Source organism: Homo sapiens, chromosome 5 (genome assembly GCF_000001405.40).
Source record: "Homo sapiens chromosome 5, GRCh38.p14 Primary Assembly".
Classification (NCBI taxonomy): Eukaryota; Metazoa; Chordata; class Mammalia; order Primates; family Hominidae; genus Homo; species Homo sapiens.
This window is the reverse complement of record NC_000005.10, coordinates 67,623,015-67,647,460: the sequence shown is the minus strand read 5'-3', so window position 1 is coordinate 67,647,460 and position 24,446 is coordinate 67,623,015. Positions and strand designations below refer to the sequence as shown.

At 39.8% G+C, this 24,446-nt stretch overlaps 1 long non-coding RNA gene and 1 pseudogene across 1 annotated transcript; one reads left to right on the top strand and one right to left on the bottom strand.

Annotated features, from left to right (window-relative positions):
- Positions 1-671: 671 nt before the first annotated feature.
- LINC02242 (long intergenic non-protein coding RNA 2242) lies at positions 672-15,195 on the top strand. The gene is made up of 3 exons (NR_147169.1): positions 672-855; positions 13,066-13,154; positions 14,828-15,195. It is a non-coding gene; the product is annotated as a long intergenic non-protein coding RNA 2242 (long non-coding RNA).
- On the bottom strand, positions 8,807-10,508 carry BCL9P1 (BCL9 pseudogene 1; annotated as a pseudogene).
- Positions 15,196-24,446: the final 9,251 nt, after the last annotated feature.

Below are 24,446 nucleotides of genomic sequence, written 5' to 3'. Positions count from 1 at the left end.
GCCTGTAGTTCTGGCTCAGGCTTGTATTTTGGAAAAAAAAAAAAAAAAAAAAAAAAGCTCTCTGAAAAGGAAGTAGGAGAAGAGAGAAGTGATGTGAGATGTGGAAGTTGCAGGGCTGTCATCTCACTGTCCTGGCCAGTTGCTTGGATTCAGGATGAAAAAAGGAAAAGTTGCCTGGTAATATGTTTTCTCATGACAGCTGATGTCTAGTCTGTTCACTGCAGCAAAAGTGGAGCTTAACCGATGATTTTTAACAGGCATCACCATCATAATGCCTGGCATCCTGGTGCTCAAACCCCACCTGAGTGCTTCCCACGTGCCAGGCTTTCGGCTGGCCTTGGGATACAGAGATGAGTAAGACATGGTCCCAGTTCTTGCAGAGCTCCCAGATGAGTGATCAAATGAGCCTTAGAGCACAGAGATCTTGCTCACCATAGAGAGAAACTATTTATATTCTAGACCCTGTAGAATCATCCAGAAGGAAGCCTTGTACACATCATTATCTATCACATAACCAGGAATTTTTGAAGCTTTGTGAAGCAGCTTAGGTAACTTTTAAAACAATCCTCAGTGAGAAAACAAATTCCACAAGTAGGAGGGAGGCCGCCCATAATGCAACCAACTTGGTTAATCACTTGGAAGTTCTTCCAGTCTTGCGAGGACTTCTTGGGCACTAGTTGTACCAATAACTAACCCCAAGGAATTGGACTCAGAAGAGCAATACAAATTGCAGCCTTGCCACTTACGAGCTGAGAGATCTTAGCCAAAATAACTCAATCTGTCTGAGTTGTATTTTTTATCAGTCGACTGAAGATGAATAATATTCAGGCTACAAGTTTATCAAAGAGTTAATAGGTGAGTATCTATGAAAGCCCTTTTTATTCAGTAAAGATGTATATACATTTGTTCTTGTTACTTCTCTTCATACTTTCACTTTCATTTATTTTGTATAAAATTTGCATAGTGTGACTTTTAGATTTTGGGCTTCTTGCTTTCTAGTTTGATGTTTATGAATACTTCAATAAAGAGAGGGTGGAAAAGGATAGCAACACTGAGCAATTTTTTAGTATCACATCCATGAGGAGCCATAGGTAAAAAGAGGTGACTGAAACTATGATTCTAAAGCCTAAGCAATATTCCCAAGGTGAGAAATCTAGTACGAAGTTGAATTGGGACATCAGCTACTGTCTGCTTGACTTCAAAGCACAGGTTCTTAACTACAATCTACCTTGTGTCTGAAAATGATGATAATATTAATAATCTGAAATGGGAAAGGATGACTAATAGCAATGTTCATTCATTATGTTTATAGGAAAATGAAAAGTGATGTTTATGGCTTTTCTTTGAGGGGAGAATAAGAATTAAAAACCTGTACTTATTGTTAGGAATTTATGAAATATGATCTAAGCAAAAGACAAGTAAAAACTATGAAATATTATGAAAATTTGTGGTGTCTTTTTACAAGCCCCTTCTCTAGGGTCTTGTGTCATTATCACCCTTAGCTGGAAATAATCTCAACTCTGAATTCCCAGAACCACTTTGAAGAATCTTTTGTGTGATTAAGACTCCTGGCTGGGCGCAGTGGCTCACTCCTGTAACCCCAGCACTTTGGCAGGCCGAGGCAGGTGGATCACTTGATCTCAGGAGTTTGAGAACAGCCTGGTGAACATGGCAAAACCTCATCTCTACTAAAAATACAAAACTTAGCCAGGCATGGTGTTGCACGCCTGTAATTCTAGCTACTTGGGAGGCTGGGGCACAAGAATCACTTGAACTTGGGAGGCGGAGGTTGCAGTGAGCCGAGATCGCGACACTGCACTCCAACCTGGGCGACGGAGTGAGACTCTGTCTTACAAAATAAATAAATATAAATAAATAACCGGCGGCCTCAGGGTATTTGCACTTGCTGCTCCCTCTGCCTGGTACATTTTTTTCCCAAAAACCTCTTGGATCATTGCTCCCTTCATGGACACATATGCTCAAATGTCCCTTATCAGACAGACCTGACTAGAGCTTTTCTTATCACTTTGTACAAAATGGCCATGTGCCCCTTATTACTCTTATCTATTGTCTTACTTTATTTTTCTTCAAAGCACTTCCCACCACCAGACATATTTAACATTTTATATATTGACTGCTTCCCAAACTCAGATACAAATTCTCTAAGAACACAGAATTTCTTTTGTTTACTGCAGTCTCCCGAACATCTAGAATAACACCTGGCACATAGTTAAATGCTCAAAGCATATTTGTTAAATAAATGAATGAACAAAGAATTAATGAATATGGCCCTTTATACTTTGTATTTTTGTTGGTTATATGAGTCTTACATCACCTGGGAAATTGAACTTTCTGAGGGCAAGGTCTATGTCTGATTCACTTTCAAATCTCTCTAGGTTCTAACATAGTACTTAAAATTGATTGAAAATTTACATAGATTTCATATACAAGTGTCTCATTTGTGGCCTAACAACTCTACACAATAGATTGGTATTCTTATTCCTATCTGTCTTAGGTTAGGCTGCTATAACAGAATAGCATAGACTGGGTGGTTTAACCAACAGACATTTATTTCTCACATTTGTGGAGGATGGGAAGTTCAAGAACAACGTGGCAGCCAATTCAGTTCCTGGTGAAGACCCTCATCCTGACTTGCAGATGACTGCCTTCTTGCTGAATCCTCACATGGTAGAAAGAGGGATAGCTCTGGTCTACCTCTTCTTATAAGGGCACTAATCTCATTGTAAGGGGCCCACCCTTGTGACTTCATCTAACCCTAATTACCTCCTAAAGGCTCTACACCCAAATACAATCACACTGTGGTTAAGGCTTCAATATAAGAATTTTGGGAGGACTCAGACTTCATTCCATCATATCATTTTACAGATGAGAAACCGTAACTCAGGGAAGTTTAATGATTTTTCCAAAGTCAGAGGTCCTGGAGGAGTCAGAGCTCAAGTCTAGTTCTTACCATAAGCCCATGATTCTCTCTTTTAAGGGCCACTGCCTCTTCTCGTGTTACAGCACATAAATAACTACTGCCCCAGGGCTGAATAAATGGGCCCATTTGCATAAGCAGGACTCCATTTGCATAAGCAGTACAAAAAAGGCAGGACTCCTCAGAAACATACAAAGCCTTTCACAATGTCAACATGAAGGTAAATTTCTACTTTCATTTTTAGGGTTTTTAAATTGCTTTTTTAAATTAGACATGGTTTTTAAAGTTTTCTCTGTACTAGCGACTCTATCTTCACCTGTTACTCTCTTCCTTTAAGTTGAAGGAATGAAGGCTCTGTGAGAAAGAATAGCACAAGTCGGCCACATACCAAGTAAAATGAAACAGAATTTGAACTCAGACCAGGCTATCTCTTTTGTACCCACAGGAAAGCCCAGTTCTTAGTATGGCCATTGAGAAACTATTCTGTGCTCTTACATTTGATCTGCCTGCTCCAGACCACATGGGTCAGAATAGCATCCTCTTCTCCCATAGAAGTGGAAAACATATGAACATGGAAAACTTACAGCCTCAGTCACTCATTCTTCTCTCCTAAGTTAAAAATAGTAATTCATATAACATATATATATACACATATATATACACACACACACATATATATATACGTGTGTGTGTGTGTGTGTGTGTGTGTGTGTAAGTTTTTTAAGTCCTTAAAGGCCATATGTTTTTCCTGGATTTGATGAGTCCTTTAATCCCCAAATATTTCTGTAATTTGTCATTAAGCTTCAGAACTCCTAGAATGCTCATATGAAGTCAATCCAAATTCCAAACATAATGAGATTTATCTACTTCTAATCTCTGTATCTATTTTTAACTGAAATATCTTATTTATTTTCAAGACAGAACACATTGCCATAATATACCACTGCAGCTCATTCAAAATCCTCGTAGATCAGGGTATAGGACAGAATAGGAGGATACACGTTAACCAGAAACTGCCTTGTCTTTTATTTCTTAAGTTGATCTACAGAACAAAAGAAGAACTGCATGGTTTAGACATTATATAGATGAATTCAAACTCAAAGCTGTGTTTAAATTTGTACGCCTGTCAGTGCAGGATTATGCTTCATAATTTGTAGTGCCTTTCTCTGTTCTGCCCCACCCCAGGCCAAAGCAAAACAAGTCAGAACAAACCAAAAAAGAAAAAAAAATTTACTTTATTTGATGAAAATAATAAACGTGGAGCATTCTTTAAATTCACATGATAACCATTTTTTTCCTGGCACCCACCATATATAAAAAATTTGCATGTATTAATATCTAGTGTGACATACAGTGAGAAGCTTCAGAGGAGTCCCTTTAGAAGGCCTGGCACTAGTAATGCCGGTAATACCATCACCCTTTGTCATTTTTTTCCTGGAAATGGACTTGTCTCTTAAGGTTGACTGGGGAAGAGAAGAAATGCTGGACAGACACCACTCAAGTGCCCACCATAGTTTTAGCATCTACAATATAAAGGATTTAGACTGAGAATGCTAAGGACCATTTAAGCTCTAATATTCTGTGATGATCTGATTTTCGCCCTATGTAATACACCATTTTGCTAAATCCGATCATGTTCTTTTTCCTTTGCAGAAACCGAAACTACTTTACATGGAGTAGGCTATGTAATATGATTTCCCTGTTAGCAAAATAAAACGATTCATTTTTGCGGTTTAAAATCAATTCACAGCAAATCAGTGCTAGAAAAAGGATTCAGTTATTTTCTTCTTTGGCCTCTAATTCTGGACTCACGAGCCACAGATTACATCACACAGACTGTTAGTTGTCCATCTTATTTCTAACTGGCTTCAGAAATTGTCTGGGTCTGCGCTAGAGCACTGAAGAAAAAAATATAGGCACATCACATTTTCAGGAATCCAGAGGTGCTGTGAAATAAATATTTTCCAACTTTAAAATGTACTAAGGCACCTTGTTATTTAAAGTATTGATACAGCAAATGATCCTTTTCTTTAGGAGATAATCACTCTGCTGGCTTTTTAATTTGGCAAGTCTAAATTTTCCTCAGTTGGATTTAAAGCAGATTATGCTTGTGAGTAAATAGAGAGTGTTAAGCTCAGGAGAGTGATAAAATTCCTGGTGAACTGTCCATGGCTTGCTTTTGGTCCCCACAGTAGCAATGCTGTAGGAATTTCTCATCAGCATTAAGTTTAGAAGTTAAGACTCCTGGATATGACATTACTCATCTTAAGAATACCTATTTATTGCACATTTATTTGTCTGAGGCTACTTTCAGAGGGTTATTATTGTGGTACTTAAGCAAGATTTACAGAAACTTTTTAAAATTTAATCTTTAATTAACAAATGACAGCTGTATATATTTATGGGAAACAATGTGATATTATGATACATGTATACATTGTGTAATGATTAAATTAGGCTAAATAGCATCACCATTACCTCACATACTTATTACTTTGTGGTGAGAACATTTAAAATCTACTCTTTTAGCAATTTTGAACTATACATTATTATTAACTAAGGTCAGCATACTGTGCAATAGATCACTAGAATTTATTCTTTCTAACTGAACTTTGTACCCTTTGACAATCATATCTCCTTTCCTGTCCATCCTCTAACCCCCATCTTCCAGTAATCACAATTCTACTCCCCACTTCTATGAGTTCGACTTTTTTTTTTTTTTTTTTTTTTTTTTGAGGCTGAGTCTCGCACTGTTGCCCAGGCTGGAGTGCAGTGGTGTGATCTTGGCTCACTGCAACCTCCGCCTCCCGGGTTCAAGTGATTCTCCTGCCTCAGCCTTCCGAGTAGCTGGGATTATAGGTGCCTGCCACCACGCCCAGCTGATTTTTGCATTTTTAGTAGAGATGGGGTTTCACCATGCTGGCCAGGCTGGTCTCAAACTCCTGACCTCAAGTGATCCACCCACCTCGGCCTCCCAAAGTGCTGGGATTACAGGCGTGAGCCACCACACCTGGCTGAGTTTGACTTTTATAGATTCCTAATACAAGTGAATTCATGTGATATTTGCTTTTCTGTGCCTGGCTTATTTCACTTAGCATAGTATCCTCTAGATTCATCTGTATTGTCACAAGTGACAGGATTTCCTTCTTTTTAAAGACTGAGTAGTATTCCATTGTATATTCACACCACATTTTCTTTATCCATTCATCTTGATGGGCATGTCAGTTGTTTCAATACCTTGGCTATTGTGAATAGTGCTGCAATAAACATGAGAATGCAGGTATCCCTTTGACATATTAATTTCATTTCTTCTGCATATATGTCTAGAAGTGGGATTGCTGGATCATACAATAATTCTATTGTCAGTTTTTTGAGAAACCTTCATATTGTTTTCTAAGATGGCTGTATCAATTTACATTCTGACCAACAGTCTAGAAAGGTTCTCTTTCTCCACATCCTCACCAACACTTGTTTTCTTTCACCGTTTAAGTCTGAGAATATTTATTCTTTTTTAAAAATGTTTTTAATTTCAATAGCTTTAGGGGTACAAGTGGATTTTAGTTACATGAATGAATCGTATAGTGGTGAAGTCTGGGATTTTAGTGCACCTGTCACCCCAAATACTGTGCGTTGTACCCAATAAGTAGTTTTTCATCCCTCACCCCTTCTGAGTCTCTGATGTTCATTATACCACTCTGTATGCTTTTGCATACCCACAGCTTAGCTTCCACTTATGAGTGAGAATATGCAGTATTTGGTTTTGATTCCCGAGATATTTCACTTAGAATAATGGTCTCTGGCTTCATTCATGTTGCTTCAAAAGACATTATTTTGTTAGCAGATTTCATTCTTAATGTAAATAAAAATAAAATGTAGAAAATAATCACTTTTAAAAAGGATGGTTGCAAAAAATTAAGATTTAGTCGTGTACACAGAATTGTTTCTGGAGTAGACACAGATGCCTGTTTCTCTTCTCCGTTTGCACTCTGTACTTCTAAGCCCTCATTTATTATAACTGACCTGGGACTGGGTGAAATAAGGTGCTCTGAGTGAGAAACTAATTTGGGGATGCCACAAAGGACCCATTTTACAATGGCACTGAATCTGATAACAGTTTAACCTCCAGCTTTTCCTGAGGAACACTGAATTTTATGAAAATTCCATTTCTGCAGCCTTAAAGGCACAGCCAGCAGTGCAGGGCGGTCATCAGCATGACTTTTCACTTCAGCTGATATGGGGGCTTTCTGAGCCAGTGCAAGCCACAGCAAATCCTGACATTGCCTCACTGTGCTAAGAAGCCAATTTTATAAACTTCCCTCTCTTTACGGAGGGCTCTGGCTGTTCACCCTCAGCAACTTGTGATCTCATACAAACCCCTCTGCCATCTGTTGCTTAGTCTCCCTGAATCTATTTATAGCTCAAGTTCTGTCCTCCTCATGTCTATTTTTTTTTCTAATTTCATAAATTGAGTTTCATGTCCCAACTTGTGGCTTGCTTTAATTGCTCCTTTTCACCATTCCCCATGTTTAGCTATAATTTAAAGTGGTTAGAGAAAATTTTTGTGCACAATGTCTGTAGGCAAAGCACTGTGGAACATCTGAAATTGAATCAGGCTCAGGCCCAACCCTCATGTAGTTTCAGTTTATAGGAAAGCTGAAATTAAAAATATATATATATGTATTATAAGAACATGAGAGAAGAAAGTGTTAGATCTCAGCAGCAAGTTCCGAAGAAAATGACATTTGTTCTTCCTGGGAGACCAGGAAGTGTCTCATGGAAGTGATTTTTTGATTCAGCCTTAAAGTGAGCTTTCCGGTTTTTAATTTTGTAATAAATAATATATTCTATTTTTCTGACATCACAGCCCCAGGGAGTGGTTCTGTACCAAATGGAATGGCAGTTGCTCTAACATTGCATGTGTGGGAGGAGGAAGAAAGGGAAATAACCACAACATTTAAAAAAAAAAAAAAGACAAGAAAACAAAAACAAAAGTCCTGGGTAACTTTTAGCATCTGTTCCACTCCCACATTAATACAATTCACCTGGGAATTCTGAGTAAAAGGAAGACAGGAAACAAGGAGGGGGGTGGGGCGGGGTGCTGGGAAGGGCATATTAGTGAAGGAGAAGACAAAGCAGGGAAAGAAAAGCCATAGAGCAGCCCAGTGGCTGACCTCTCTCTCTCCCTCAAAACCACGAAGATGCTCAGCATGGAAGTGGAGGCCTGTCTCCATTAATCACCCAGAGGAACACCTTGTAGATCGGCGCCCAAGGGAAAAACAGAGGAGGGAAGCAAGGCGGGCACGATGTCTGTGAAGCACACTTAACAGAGATGGGGAAGGATGAGAGACAACACGAGAAACACGAAGGTGAATTTGTATACACATGGAGAGACAGTGCCGAAGAGCATTTGAACACAAAAACAATGTCCTACACTTCACTATTTTTTAAAACGAAAGATTTCTTTTCCATCCCTATCTATGCTAAACTTAGTTCCTTTTTTTTTTTTTTTTTTTTTTGCATTTATTTTTCTTTTTTTGGTGTTATTGCTTGAGAAAGGCCAGCAATGTCATTGACAAAGTCTGGAAAGGATACACTTGTACCCAAAGGATGCTCAGAGCTTGTGCTGACCCTAGACCAAGCAATGCCAGTGCCACCGTGGAACTTATCTGCCTGTCACCTCCTCCATCTGCAAAAACCCTGGCATTGTTTATGGCCTGAGATTTTCCCTTGAGGGAAATAGTTCACTGTCTGGTTGGACATCTGTGATGGAATCACGGAAGACAGATCAAACTCACATATGGATTGCTGCAGATCTGGGTCCACAAACCCTGAAGTCATGCTATTCCCCAGCATAGCAAAGGAGTCAGACACTCTGGGCCTCCTGGCTTACAAACACCTAGAGAAATTCTTCTGTCCTTGAGATGCCAACCAAGGCTCCTGGGACTCATGACCCATCATAGGATTGTGATACCAGCCAAGGCTCCTAGGACTCGTGACTTATCATAGGATTGTGTGACATCAAAGCAGGCCCCATTGGAGCACTATGGGGAAGTATGCTGGGTTCCGTGGCATTCAGGAAGGGTGTCAAGTTGGAGTGAGAAGTGGCTAGGTTATTCCCACTGAGCTGGAGGGTTGTCATTGGAATCATAGAGTCTGGATCTAAAATTTGCAGATTTTATGTATTATTAATGCCAATTCCTGGCATGTTTTTAATTAATGATAAGTTGGGTGAGGGAGTTGGAGGAGCGTTTTCATTTGAGTTAACCACTAGCTTGATGGTATCATGATATAATCTGATAGAACTGGACATTGCAAAGTTGGACACTCAACATATCAAAATGCATATTCAAAAAAATATCAATCATCAAATAATCTGCAGAAGTCTTCTGTCTAGTACAACTTGCCTCCAGAGCCTATCCTTTCCCAAACCTGCTCACTTCAAGATGGTGCAGTTTAATGGAAGCAACAGCATCAGGATTTGCCATTAGGCCCACCAGGTATGATGGAACCTGGGGAAACTTGAGGTTTCCCGAGGGCAAGTCCCATATTGTGGACTGGACTGGACTGTGTAGAGTGGGAGATTTCAGAGAGTTCACATCAAGAGAACACACCTGGCTGCATGCCCCAGATTTATTCAAGGGCCCCTGCCTCAGGCCATGTCAAACTGCAGAAGCTGTGTTGAGGCTAATGGGGTTTCTGGAAGGGTTGAAAGGTAGTGGTGGCTATGACTGAGCTGGCTGTTAGTCCTTCTGTTGGGTCTGATTGGTTCACTAAGATTCTGCCAAACCCTGTTGCAGTTTGGACCCTAAGATATGGGAAAGAATGACCTGAAGCCCATGTCATCTTCCTGCTGAGGGTGCTCACCACATGGCAGGGGTGCTGTCTTCTGCTGAGCAGGCAGCACAGCTGAGCTACCTGACTGTAATTCACCATCTCCCCAGGGCACACCCAGCCTCTCATCTTTTGAGGTATCATCTGAGAGTTAGATCCCACGTTTGATATTTAGATGGACATTTTATTTCATGACATGAAGAACCATCCCAAACTCAAATTCCCAACTGGAGCCCATCTGTGAGACAGTGCTTTGGAAAAGTCTTCCCTGGTAGGACTGAGAGGTCTCTCAACTGGTCAAGGGAAAATGGGAATATTCACAGAGAGCCTGGGATCATCCTAGTCATCTCTATGCTGGGCCTTAGGTCAGCTGTGCTATCCCAAGGGGAAGATCTCACTGTTTCTCTGCCAGCTGCTATTAAAACATCTCTGAAAACAATCTTTGGGGATTTGGGGAGTGTACCCCAAGAACACCGAAGACCTCTTTGCCAAGAGAGAAGTTTCCATCATCTGGAATTTTTGGCACATTGTCTGGCCAACTGACTCCAGAAAGACTTGGACTGGGTGCAGGGTTGGAGACATTTTGCCCTTACATTTCAGAGCCTAACATTCCTGAAAGTCTAGAAAGGCACATATGGCCCTGGTTGGCTGGAGCTGGGGGCTGTTGTGGGAAAAGTTTTGGATCATTCCAAAGGCAGATATCTGTGTGTTCAGGGTTTTGCTTCTCTCTATCTTGCTGCTAGGAATTTTCTGGATTTGGAAAGAGGCGTCAGTTTCAACCTGACCTTTCAATACAGCTTCTGCAGCTTGAACGCACATGCACCACTTGGGCTGATGTCTTCCAAGAAGGTGTGGACTCTGAGCAATAGTCTGGCTATGGGAAGGTATGGAAGAGCTGTGGGCCACAGAATTTGAGGGTATCATCAAGTGTGTTGTGTGCTGGGAATCCTGGAACTTTATGTGGTCAGCAGAATTACATTCTTTAGTCTCAGGACCTCTTAGATCAAAGGAGTAGATGGGAATGCCTCCCTTGGCATCATTTCCAGTCTCTGTCTTCAGACCCATGCTCCCACCTGGGTTAAGGAGTGCTTTAGGGGTGTGGCTTCTACTCTCGGTGTCACTGTCCCAGAGGTGTCTAGGACTGATTGACAAGCTCCCATGTTCAGCCTGACTGGAAAATTTGGAAACCAGGTGAGGCTTTCCTGATAGGAACATTGCTGTAAGGGCAGAACCCATCCCCTTTGACTTTGATTTAGGGCTTTCACTGTCTTTCTTGATGGAGAGCCCTTCACTTTAATGTGACTGGAATACACTGACAGAGCTCCTGAGCTTGCATCACACACAGGGGCAGGCTTTCAGGGTTGTTCTCAGACTGAGCAGCTGAGGCGGTGGCAGTGGTTCAGTGCTTGCTGGCTGCATGCCTTTACACTGGTCAACAGTATGCCTTGTTCTTCTTTGTTGATCTCTGCTGCAGAATTTAGTCTAGGAGCTTCAGCATTCTCTGGATATACCTCCTGCTGCCAAAGAAAAATCTCTCCTCTCTAGCACACATGATATGACCAGGGCTACCCCATGGTAGTGCTTATCCTGGAGCTGAGGAATCTAGGAACCGTGTTCTCAAAGGCAACCTTCATCTTTCAGGACACTCAAATTTGTTCTTTTTTTCTGCATTGAGACACAGAAGAATTTACTAACAATGATTTCTGCCTCTCAAACAGAAATGATTTTTAGGTCAAAATCAAACAGATACCAGCTAGTTCCACATTCATTTTTTGGAGGCAGGGTGGAAACTAGAAGAGGAGAGGAGGGGCAAGGGATGCTTTGGTCCAGGGTCAGGCCCAACTGCATCCCTCTCCTCTCTCCCTCACTGCAGCTCTTAAAGTGTTGTAACCCATGGAAGGGACCAGGTAAACTAAGCATATGGGAAATAAGCTTGGAAAGGTAGATTGGGACAAAATTTAGGAAAGCCTTAAATACTACATTATAAATGTGGGGTTTTGTTTTTTGGTTGGGAGTAGGGAACTACTAAGATTTCTGTGCATGGGAGTAACATGATTATGACTTCGCTTTAGAATGGTTCATTCTCCCATTATCGTTTAGAGGAAAAAGAATCAAGGTGCTTTCAGATGCAAGGAACAGAACACCGAATCAAGATGGCTTAGATGATAGAGATTTATTATTACATATAACAAGAAGTCTTAAAGCTGTAGAGAGAGAATTGGCTGTCTCTGTCACACAGCCAAGAGATTGGCAGACTGTGTCATGAGAGGACATGTAAATTTTTTAAAAAGTGGTCAAAAGTAGTAATTTAGAGAATGTCAAGGAGGAAAGTTAGAAAGCAGAAAAATAAAAAATAAATTCCTTATTACCTAAGTTTTTGCCACTTCTAGTTTAGCACAAAAGCTCACCTCTACCTCTGTAAATGATTATTTTTAGATGAAAATAATTCAGTATGAACACTCAATCTCTCGGGAATATTACATTCTCATTTCAGAAAACCAATGTAGCCAAGCATAAGGATAACTAAAAGAGTTCTTTCTCTATAGACGAGACCTTCGATCCATTTCAAAATAATTTTATTTACTGCTACCAAAGTAATTATTCATCCCTAGGAACACACTTGCCATCTTATGAGAAGTTTCCACATTCATATAGGGAGCAGTCACTGAAATCTATAAAGAAACTCAGCAACCCACTATTAGAAGAAAAGGTGCTATCTTCAGATTTTACTTATGTATGTATGCATTTTTAATATTTTTAAGAGACATGGTCTCACTCTGTTACCCAGGCTGGAATGTAGTGGTATGCTCACAGCTCACTGCAGCCTCAACCTCCTGGGCTCAAGCAATCTTCCTTTCTCAGCTTCCCAAGCAACTAGGGATGTATTAATCCATTTTCATGGTGCTGATAAAGACACATCCGAGACTGAGAAATTTACAAAAGAAAGAGTTTAATTGGACTTACAGTTCCACATGGCTGGGGAAGCCTCACAATCATGGCGGAAGGCAAGGAGGAGCAAGTCACATCTTACATGGATGGCAGCAGGCAAAGAGAGAGAATTTATGCAGGGGAACTCCTCATTTTAAAGCCATCAGATCTTGTGAGACTTATTCACTATCATGAGAACAGCATGGGAAAGACTTGCCCCCATGTTTCAGTTACCTCCCACCGGGTTCCTCCCACAACACATGGGAATTCAAGATGAGATTTGGGTGGGGACACAGCCAAACTATATCAGGGGACTATAGACATGTACAACCACCCTGGCTAATTTATTTCCTTTTTCACTTTTGTAGAGATGGAGTCCATGTTGCCTCGCCTGGTCTTGGACTATTGGCCTCAAGCGATCATCCTACCTCAGCCTCTCAAAGTGCTAGCATTCAAGGTATGAGCCACTGTACCCAGCCCCAGACTTTCTATAGTTGTCTGTGACCAGGCCACATGCTCACAAAGAGTTTCAGATATGAACACCTACGTCCTGAGATCCTCTTTGTGTCTTGGCAGAGCATCATCTAGGACCTTAAACCAATTACCAAGAGATTTTATTTTACATAGCAGGATAAAGGGATATGATCTTGGAATTTATAAATAAAAAGGTGATTTACCATCCTTAGCTTTAGACCTAGCCTATAAATGCATCACCTTTCTCACTCTTCTGGGCTTTGCAAGGTTCATGTGGCAACACCTAGTCAGGGCAGGCATCACTGAGTGCTCTGCCATCTGATTGCTTTTCTTACCAATAAACCAAAATGACCCAGGCACAGGACATGGATACTAATGATTCTATAGAAAAACAAAAGGAGATGATGAACCTTTGCGAGGATGATGAAGTACATGTCGGGCAGCTGGCCCTCAAAGATCGATCATACCACCCACACCTCAGGACTCAACTCCTTGCCCTTGGTGAGACGTGCTTTTATCACAGAAACTAATGAAAACTCCCTATCTTAAATTAAACAGTGCTACATTTTATAAAATCATACCAGTGCTTTTAATTTAAAAAGATGAATTGCATAATTTTTTAAAATTGATCACCCAGATACTATATGGTTCTTGAGTGGATTAGAATGAAGGAAAGAAGTAAACACATATGGATGTATAGCTCTAGTTATAGGGAGTTAATATGTATTGAACACTCTACATGTGCCAATATATTTCCACATGTGAATTCAATTATACGTCATGTGGTAGGTACTATTATCATTGTATCTTTTTTATAGATGAGAAACAAAAGACATGATAGGTGGGTTGCAATGGGTTCCAAAATGAAAGTAACAAATGAAATGTAATCAATGACATTTGCTTATTTCTATTTTATTCACATTTATTTTATCTTTTTTCTCTTTTTCCTCCCAGCTCACAAACAAGAGTTTTGAACCTAGGCAGGCTAAGCAGTGATCTTGAGGACTGAAAGGGGAAACTGCTGTCAATTAATAGGACATCAAACACCCATACTCTACTGGAAAAATGTGTCCACAGACATTTGCTTGAGAGGAGGAGGTGGCTGGTGAAGAGCCCTATGGTTGCTCTCCTGTGTCTTCACTCTTAGCAGCTACAACATGCACAAGATTCAGTGCATTCAATAATTAGTTCTCAGCATCCTGTGAACTGGCGATCTATTTCCAGAATGATTTAGTGCAGTTTCCTCTAAGTCCATGCTAAAAGAGGAAATAATTAGGCTCAGAAGCATTTAACTTAAAACTGGTGTTTCTACTTATCTACAATGACTGTGCTAATTAGGCCTCTCATAAATTTCTCTGACATACTTCACTCTACAACCTCGAGCCTTTACCTCATGTGTTCCCCTGGGATCTAGAATGGTGCTGGAAAACCACTGAGATGGGAGCCTCTTAGTCTGGACTCCCTGGAGGAAGAGTAATTCACTTAAGGTTACGACACTCTTATATAAACATATTCAAACATGATTTTTTTTTTTTTGCCCTAACTGCATATTCAAGTCAATCTGCTAGGGGTAAAAAAATGTTGGCCTAGGCCGGGCGCGGTGGCTCACGCCTGTAATCCCAGCACTTTGGGAGGCCGAGGCGGGCGGATCACGAGGTCAGGAGATCGAGACCATCCCGGCTAAAACGGTGAAACCCCGTCTCTACTAAAAATACAAAAAATTAGCCGGGCGTAGTGGCGGGCGCCTGTAGTCCCAGCTACTTGGGAGGCTGAGGCAGGAGAATGGCGTGAACCCGGGAGGCGGAGCTTGCAGTGAGCCGAGATCCCGCCACTGCACTCTAGCCTGGGCGACAGAGCGAGACTCTGTCTCAAAAAAAAAAAAAAAAAGTTGGCCTAAACAGGGACACACAGTGTGGTCCAGAGACCTGGTGACAGTGTGTGAATTGTTACCAGTTCACAGAGCAGTAAGTATTACAAAACTTGGGAGTAGGTCATTAGAAATTTTATAGGGATTTCAGCAATGTAATTTTTTAATGTCCATTAAATCTAATAATTAAAAGAAATGGGGGTTTATACGTTCTATTTCATTTTTTCCATTTTATTTTTTATCATAATTCAACTCTACCAGTTGGTTTCTTTTTCCTGTTTATGGATTATATTTTACAATTCTTTGCAGACCTGATAATTTCTTATTAGATTCTGGAGAGCATGCATTTTTGGTAGTTGGGTGTTGGATTTTGCTGTATTCTTTTATGTAGTGGGGGACTTTGTTGTGGCTTGCAGTTACGGTACAAAGGATTAATTTGGTCCCCTGGAGGTGTGCTTTCAGGCTGCCTCCGCACAGCAAGCTGAGGCAATAGTAGGGCTCACCTTGTTTATTCCTCATTTGTCTTAGTTCATTTGTGTAGCTGTAACAGAAATACCATAGACTAAGTAATTTATAAGAGTAGAAGTTTATTCCAGAGCAAAAAGGATGAAAATTCCAAAAACCAGAACACCTCTTCTCCTCAAAAAAATCACAACTCCTTGCCAGCAAGGGAAAAAATCTGGATGGAGAATAAGTTTGATGACTTGACAGAAGTAGGCTTCAGAAGGTGGGTAATAACAAACTCCACCGAGCTCAAGGAGCATGTTCTAATCCAATGCAAGGAAGCTAAGAACCCTGAAAAAAGGTTAGAGGAATTGCTAACTAGAATAACCAGTTTAGAGAAGAATATAAATAATCTGACGGAGCTGAAAAACACAGCACAAGAACTTCGTGAAGCATACACAAGTATCAATAGCCAAATTGATTAAGCAGAAGAAAGGATATCAGAGATTGAAGATAGACTTAATGAAATAAAGCATGGAAGACAAGATTAGAGAAAAAAGAATGAAAAGAAACAAACAAAGCCTCCAAGAAATATGGGACTATGTGAAAAGACGAAACCTATGTTTGATTGGTGTATCTGAAAGTGACGGGGAGAATGGAACCAAGTTGGAAAACACTCTGCAGAATATTATCCAGGAGAACTTTCCCAACCTAAGAAGATAGGCTAACATTCAAATTCAGGAAATACAGAGAACAGCACTAAGATATTCCTCGAGAAGAGCAACCCCACGACACATAATCATCAGATTTACCAAGGTTGAAATCAAGGAAAAAAATGTTAAGGGCAGCCAGAGAGAAAGGTCGGGTTACCCACAAAGGGAAGCCCATCAGACTAACAGTGGATCTCTCGGCAGAAACCCTACAACCCAGAAGAGAGTGGGGGCCAATATTCAACATTCTTAAAGAAAAGAATTTTCAACCCAGAATTTCATATCCAGCCAAACTAAGCTTCATAAGTGAAGGAGAAATAAAATACTTTACAGACAAGCAAATGCTGAGAGATTTTGTCACCACCAGACCTGCCTTACAAGAGCTCCTGAAGGAAGCACTAAACGTGGAAAGGAACAACTGGTACCAGCCACTGCAAAAACATACCAAATTGTAAAGACCATCAGCACTATGAAGAAGCTGCATCATCTAATGGGCAAAATAACCAGCTAGCATCATAATGACAGGACCAAATTCACACATAACAATATTAAACTTAAATATAAATGGGCTAAATGCCCCAATTAAAAGACACAGACTGGCAAATTGGATAAAGAGTCAAGACCCATTAGTGTGCTGTATTCAGGAGACCCATCTCAAGTGCAAAGACACAATAGGCTCAAAATAAAGGGATGGAAGAATATTTACCAAGCAAATGGAAAGAAAAAAAAAAAGGCAGGGGTTGCAATCTTAGTCTCTGATAAATCAGACTTTAAACCAACAAAGATCAAAAAAGACAAAGGGCAATACATAATGGTAAGGGAATCAACGCAACAAGAAGAGCTGAAAGCAAGTCCTTAGAGACCTACAAAGAGACTTAGACTCCAACACAGTAATCATGGGAGACTTTAACACCCCACTGTCAATATTAGACAGATCAATGAGACAGAAAATTAACAAGGATATTCAGGACTTGAACTCAGCTCTGGACCAAGTGAACCTAATAGATGTCTACAGAACTCTCCACCCCAAATCAACAGAATATATGTTCTTCTCAGCACCACATCACACTTATTCTAAAACTGACCACATAGTTGGAAGTAAAACACTCCTCAGCAAATACAAAAGAACAGAAATCATAACAGTCTCTCAGACCACAGTGCAATCAAATTAGAATTCAGGATTAAGAAACTCACTCAAAACCACACAAATACATGGAAACTGAACAACCTGCTCCTGAATGACTAATGGGTAAATAACAAAATTAAGGCAGAAATGAATAAGTTCTTTGAAACCAATGGAAACAAAGACAAAATGTACCAGAATCTCTGGGACACAGCTAAAGCAGCGTTTAGCGGGAAATTTATAACACTAACTGCTCACAGGAGAAAGCAGGAAAGGCCTAAAATCAACACTCTAACACCACAATTAAAAGAACTAGAGAAGCAAGAGCAAACAAATTAAATTCTAGAAGAAGACAAGACATAACTAAGATTAGAGCAGAACTGAAGGAGATAGAGACATGAAAAACCCTTTAAAAAATCAATGAATCCAGGAACTGGTTTTTTGAAAAGATTAACAAAATAGACCACTATCCAGGCTATTAAAGAAGAAAGGAGAGAATAATCAAATAAACACAATAAAAAATGATAAAGGGGATCTCACCACTGATCCCACAGAAATACAAACTACCATCAGAATACTATAAATGCCTCTATGCAAATAAACTAGAAAATCTAGAAGAAATAGACAAATTCCTGGATACAAACACCCTCCCTAGACTAAACTAGGAAGAAGTTTAACTCATTTTATGAGGCCAGCATCATTCTGATACCAAAACCTGGCAGAGACACAACAAAAAAAGAAAATTTCAGGCCAATATCACTGACGAACATTGATGTTAAAATCCTCAATAAAATACTGGCAAACTGAATCCAGCAGCACATCAAAAAGCTTATCCACCATGATCAAGTTGGCTTCATCCCTGAGATGCAAGGCTGGTTTAATATACACAAATCAATAAACGTAATCCATCACATAAACAGAACCAATCACAAAATCACATGATTATCTCAATGGATGCAGAAAAGGCCTTTGACAAAATTCAACACCCCTTCATACTAAAAACTCTCAATAATCTAGGTATTGATGGAATGGATCTCAAAATAATAAGAGCTATTTATGACAAACCCACAGCCACTATCATACTAAATGGGCAAAGCTGGAAGCATTCCCTTTGAAAACTGGCACATGACAGGGATGCCCTCTCTCACCACTCCTATTCAACATAGTGTTGGAAGTTCTGGGCACGGCAATCAGGCAAGAGAAAGAAATAAAGCGTGTTCAAATAGGTAAAGAAGAAGTCAAGTTGTCTCTGTTTGCAGATGACATGATTGTATATTTAGAGAACCCCATTGTCTCAGCCCAAAATCTCCTTAAGCTGATAAGCACCTTCAGGAAAGTCTCAGATACAAAATGAATGTGCAAAAATCACAAGCATTCCTATACACCAATAATAGACAGAGAGCCAAATCATGAGTAACTCCCATTCACAATGGCTACAAAGAAAAAAATATCTAGGAATACAACTTACAAAAGATGTGAAGGACCTCTTCAAGGAGAACTACAAGCTACTGCTCAAGGAAATAAGAGAGGACACAAACAAATGGAAAAACATTCCATGCTCATGGATAGGAAGAATCAATATTGTGAAAATGGCCATATTGCCCAAGGTAATTTATAGATTCAATGCCATCCCCATCAAGCTACCATTGACTTTCTTCACAGAATTAGAAAAAACTACTTTAAACTTCATGTGGAACCAAAAAAGAGCCCATATAGCCAAGACGATTCTAAGCAAAAAGAACAAAGCTGGAGGCATCATGCTATCTGACTTCAAATTGTACTACAAGGCTACAGTAACCAAAATAGCATGGTACTGGTACCAAAACAGATATATAGACCAATGGAACAGAACAGAGGCCTCAGAAATAATGCCACACATCTACAACCACGTGATCTTCGACAAACCTGACAAAAACAAGCAATGGGGAAAGGATCCCCTATTTAATAAATTGTGTTGGGAAAACTGGCTAGCCATATGCAGAAAACTGAAACTGGACCCCTTCCTTATACCTATACAAAAATTAACTCAAGATGGATTAAAGACTTTAATGTTAGACCTAAAACCATAAAAACCCTAGAAGAAAACCTAGGCAATACCATTCAGGACACAGGCATGGCCAAAGACTTCATGACTAAAACACCAAAAGCAATGGCAACAAAGCCACAATTGACAAATGGGATCTAATTAAACTAAAGAGTTTCTGCACAGCAAAAGAAACTACCACCAGAGGGAATAGGCAACCTACAGAATGGGAGAAAATTTTTGCAATCTATCCATCTGACAAAGGGCTAATATCCAGAATCTACAAGGAACTTCAACAAATTTACAAGAAAAAAACAAACAACCCCATCAAAAAGTGTGCAAAGGATATGAACAGACACTTCTCAAAAGAAGACACTTATGCAGCCAAGAAATATATGAAAAAAAGCTCATCATCACTGGTCATCAGAGAAATGCAAATCAAAACCACGACGAGATACCATCTCATGCCAGTTAGAATGGCAATCATTAAAAAGTCAGGAAACAACAGATGCTGGAGAGGATGTGAAGAAATAGGAATGCTTTTACACTGTTGGTGGGAGTGTAAATTAGTTCAACCATGGTTGAAGACAGTGTGGCAATTCTCCAAGGATCTAGAACCAGAAATACCTTTTGACCCAGCAATCCCATTACTGGGTATATACCCAAAGGATTATAAATCATTCTACTGTAAAGATGCATGCACACATATGTTTACTGCAGTACTCTTCAAAATAGCAAAGACTTGGAACCAACCCAAATGTCCATCAATGATAAAAAAAAAAATGTGGCACATATACACCATGGAATACTATGCAGCCATAAAAAAGGATGAGTTCATGTCCTTTGCAGGAACATGGATGAAGCTGGACACCATCATTCTCAGCAAACTAACACAGGAACAGAAAACCAAACACTGCATATTCTCACTCATAAGTGGGAGTTGAACAATGAGAACACATGGACACAGGGAGGGGAACATCACACACTGGGGCCTGTTGGTGGGGGTGGGGTACTAGGGGAGGGATAGCATTAACAGAAATACCTAATGTAAATGATGGGTTGATGTGCGCAGCAAACCACCATGGGACATGTATACCTATGTAACAAACCTGCATGTTCTGCACATGTATACCAGAAATTAAAGTATAATAATAAAGAAAAAAATAATAGAAGTTTATTTCTTACAGTTCTGAAGGTTGGAAAGTCTAAGATCAAGGCACCAGCATTTGGTGTCTTGTGACAGCCTTCTTGCTGCATTCTCACATGGCAGAAGGCCGAAAGGGCAAAAAGGATGAATGCTGTGTCCTCACAAGGCAGAATAGATGCAAGGCAAGAAGGGCTTGGCTAGTTCTCTCCAGCCCTTTTACATGGATACTAATGCCTTTTATAGAGGTTCTACCATCGTGACTTAAATCATCTCGCAAATACCTCACCTCTTAAAACTATCACATTGGAGCTTAAGTTCCAACATATGCATTTTGGAGGAAAACATACATTCAATCCATGGCACCATCACTCTGAAGGGATCATACATATGCAGGGGTTTTTGTCCAGTATCTGAAAACCATTGTTTCATGTATTTTTCTGGTTTTCTGATTGTTTAAGGTGGAAAACTGGATCAGTCTCTTTTACTTAATTGTGGCTAGAAGTAGACATTTTAGGACTTCATCCTGAAGTTCCTCATCTTGACATTCCATAATTCACTGATAATAACATTACTATTGTTTATAAAAGTATCAATCTGCAATGAAAAAGAAGGTAAAAAACAAATCAAAACAAAATAAAAACCTGATTTTAAAAATGAGCCAAAGATCTGAAGAAGATACATTCATCTCTTCTTATCTGCAGTTTTGCTTTCCACAGATTTAGTTACTCATGGTCAACCATGGTCCAAAATATTAAATAGAAAAATCCAGAAATAAGTAATTCATAAATTTAAAATTGTGTGCCATTCTGAGTAGAATGATGAAATCTTGTGGCATCCTGTTCCATCCCACCTCTGATATGAATCAACTCTTTTTCCAGCATATCCACACTGCACAAGCTACCCACCCATTAGTCATTTAGAGCCATTTCGGTGATCACAACTACTGTCGAGGTATTGCAGTGCATGTGTTCAAGTCACCATTATTTTACTTAATAACGACCCCAAAGAGCAAGAGAGTCATGCTGGCAATAGGGATATAAGGAGAAGTTATGAAGTGCTTCCATTCGGTAAAAAGGTGAAAGTTCTCAACTTAATTAGGAAAGAAAAAAATGTATGCAGAAGTTGCTAAGATCTTGGTAAGAACGAATCGTCTATCCATGAAATTGTGAAGACGAAAAGGAAGAAATTTGTGCTAGTTTTGCTGTCAGACTTCAAACTGCAAAAGTTGTGGCCACAGTGCATAAGTGTTTAGTTAAGATGGAAAAGGCATTAAATTTGTGGGTAGATGACGTGGACATCAGGGTTGATAGTATCTGAGATTTCACACATCCTCTAGAGGTCTTGGAACACATCCCTGCATATAAGGAGGACTACTGAATACAAATGGTTAATCAGCATACGAAAATATGCCAATATCACTAATTCTTAGGAAAAAGCAAATCAAATCCACAATGAGATATCACCTCACACTCATTAAGATGGCTATTATTAAAAAAAAAACCCAGCAAATAACAACTGTTGTTAGAGAAGTCAAGAAACAACTGTTGGTGGGAATGTAAGCTAGTGCAGCCACTATGGAAAACAGTATGTTTCCTCAAAAAATTAAAAATAGAATTATCCAGCACTTCCACTTCTGGGTATATACTCAAAAAATCTGAAAGCTAGGACTCAAACAGACATTTGTACACTCACGTTCATAGCAGCATTGTCTACAATAGCCAAAAGGTGGAAGGAACCCATGTCCATCAATGCATAAATGGTTGAATAAAATGTGAATAAAATTTTATTCAGTCTTAAAAAGAAAGGAAATTATAACACATGAGATAACATGGCTGAACCTGGGAGACGTTATGCTAAGTGAAATAAGCCAGTCTCAAAAGTGCAAATACTGTATGATCCTACTATGTGAAGTAGCTAGAATAGTCAAGTTCACATGTTAGAAAGTAGAAGGGTGGGGCCAGGGTTTCGGGGGAAGGGGGAGCTTATGTTTAATGGGTACAGCTTCAGGTTGGGACGATGAAAAAGTTCTAGAGTGAACAGTGGTAACAATTGTACAACAGTGTAAAGGTCCTTAATGCCACTGTACTGCATACTTAAAATCGGTAAAATAATAAATTTTATGTTATATGTATTTTACCACAAAAACAATTTTAAAGAAAAAAGGCCAGGTGCAGTGACTCACGCCTGTAATCCCAGTACTTTGGGAGGCCAAGGCAGGCGGATCACGAGGTCAGGAGATCGAGACCATCCTGGCTAATACGGTGAAACCCTGTCTCTACGAAAAATACAAAAAATTAGCCGGGCGTGGTGGTGGGCGCCTGTAGTCCCAGCTGCTCAGGAGGCTGAGGCAGGAGAACGGCATGAACCCGGTAGGCAGAGCTTGCAGTGAGCCGAGATCGCGCCACTCACTGCATCCCAGCCTGGGCGACAGAGCGAGACTCCGTCTCAAAAAAAAAACCTCATAAAATACAACTGAATATTCTCCACATCTCCACAGACAGTTTGAGAATCACTGATTTTAAGCAGCTCAAGGTAGGAAAATGTCTAAGTAAGGGGGAGATTGGTGAGGTTTCTGCCCAGGATTAAAGATGACAATTAACTTTCAGGCCCCAAAGCACCACCCAACCAAGGAACAGGAAGGTCTTAATATGTCAAACCTATACAATGTGCCATGGTTTTTATTTTTATATCCTTCTGTTTTCCTACTCAGTTAACAATAAAATCCCTAACAATGGTCTGTGCGAGAGCGAGCCAAGCAAAACTGGTGGGGCTGTATTGTCTTCTGCAGGGGGTCTTGGGGAGAGACCTTAAGAAGTTGGGGAGGTGGTGGCAGCTCTGAAGAGAAACAAAAGCAATTAAGTTCCTGTGGTCTGAAGATAGAAAGAGGGACAATATCAGCTCAGGATATATTCTTTAGCCTGAAAAAAAGAATACAATAAATAATACATGTAACATGATCCCATTTCTATATATTAGGAAAATACATATTTCTGTGTATACATGCATAGAAAAAAATTCCCAGAAGGATACAAATAAAAATGTGAACATTGCTTAAATCTTAGCAATCAGATTTATGGAAGGTTTTTACTTTCTCCCTTTGTAAGTTGCTACGTCATCTGTTGTTTTCACAATGGCTGAGTAAATGTTTATAATTGGGGGGCAAGAAAGCAATTTTTATTTAAAGTTAGAAAAGGATTGACAGAAGATGCTACATGGCCCAGACTTGAAGGCTCTTTAGTTTTATTTTTAGAGATTTATGCATAAATTAGTGGACGTTCCATTATTTCTCATGCCATTTTTAACACTAGAGTTCTGACCAGCAGTTTACTCATTATAAAGTAACAACCCTTACCATTTGATGTGCTGAAAATGCATTTCATTTACACAGGTCAGATAAGATTAGGAACGGCATTAGAGTAATTAAGGTCACTGGACTTTGTCATTTAACAAATCCTTAAATCCAACTCTAATCTCATTCATTAATGCCACAGACAAAAGGGTTAATTGCTAAAGTATAACATTTCCTACCCATCCAGACACAAATGTTACAATGTTAAATGTTACTAATGCACAGCTGTATTGCTTTGTATCTTTAGAAAGATGCTGATGTATTCAGTACTCTAAGAGTTACAGATTTATTAGTTCTGAAGAGGCTATCCCTTGGGTAACTCATTATCACTGGTACAAGCTCAGAATGTTCTGTGACAAGAGAATGTCTAAAATGAAACAACCCAATTAATCAAGACGGGGCATGCATGTGGTGACTATACAATATGAGCAGATGTTGTCAACTCCTGAATTGTCACCATGCAGCCCTGTAGTTAAGGCAATGCCCCTAAGAAACAGGTTGGCCACTGATGCTGGGATCCCACTGCCCAGATGCAACACAGACCCATGCTCAGTTGCTTCCCTTTAGCCCTGATCCAGCTGGAAAGGACGATCCCATTGTCAAACCTCTTAC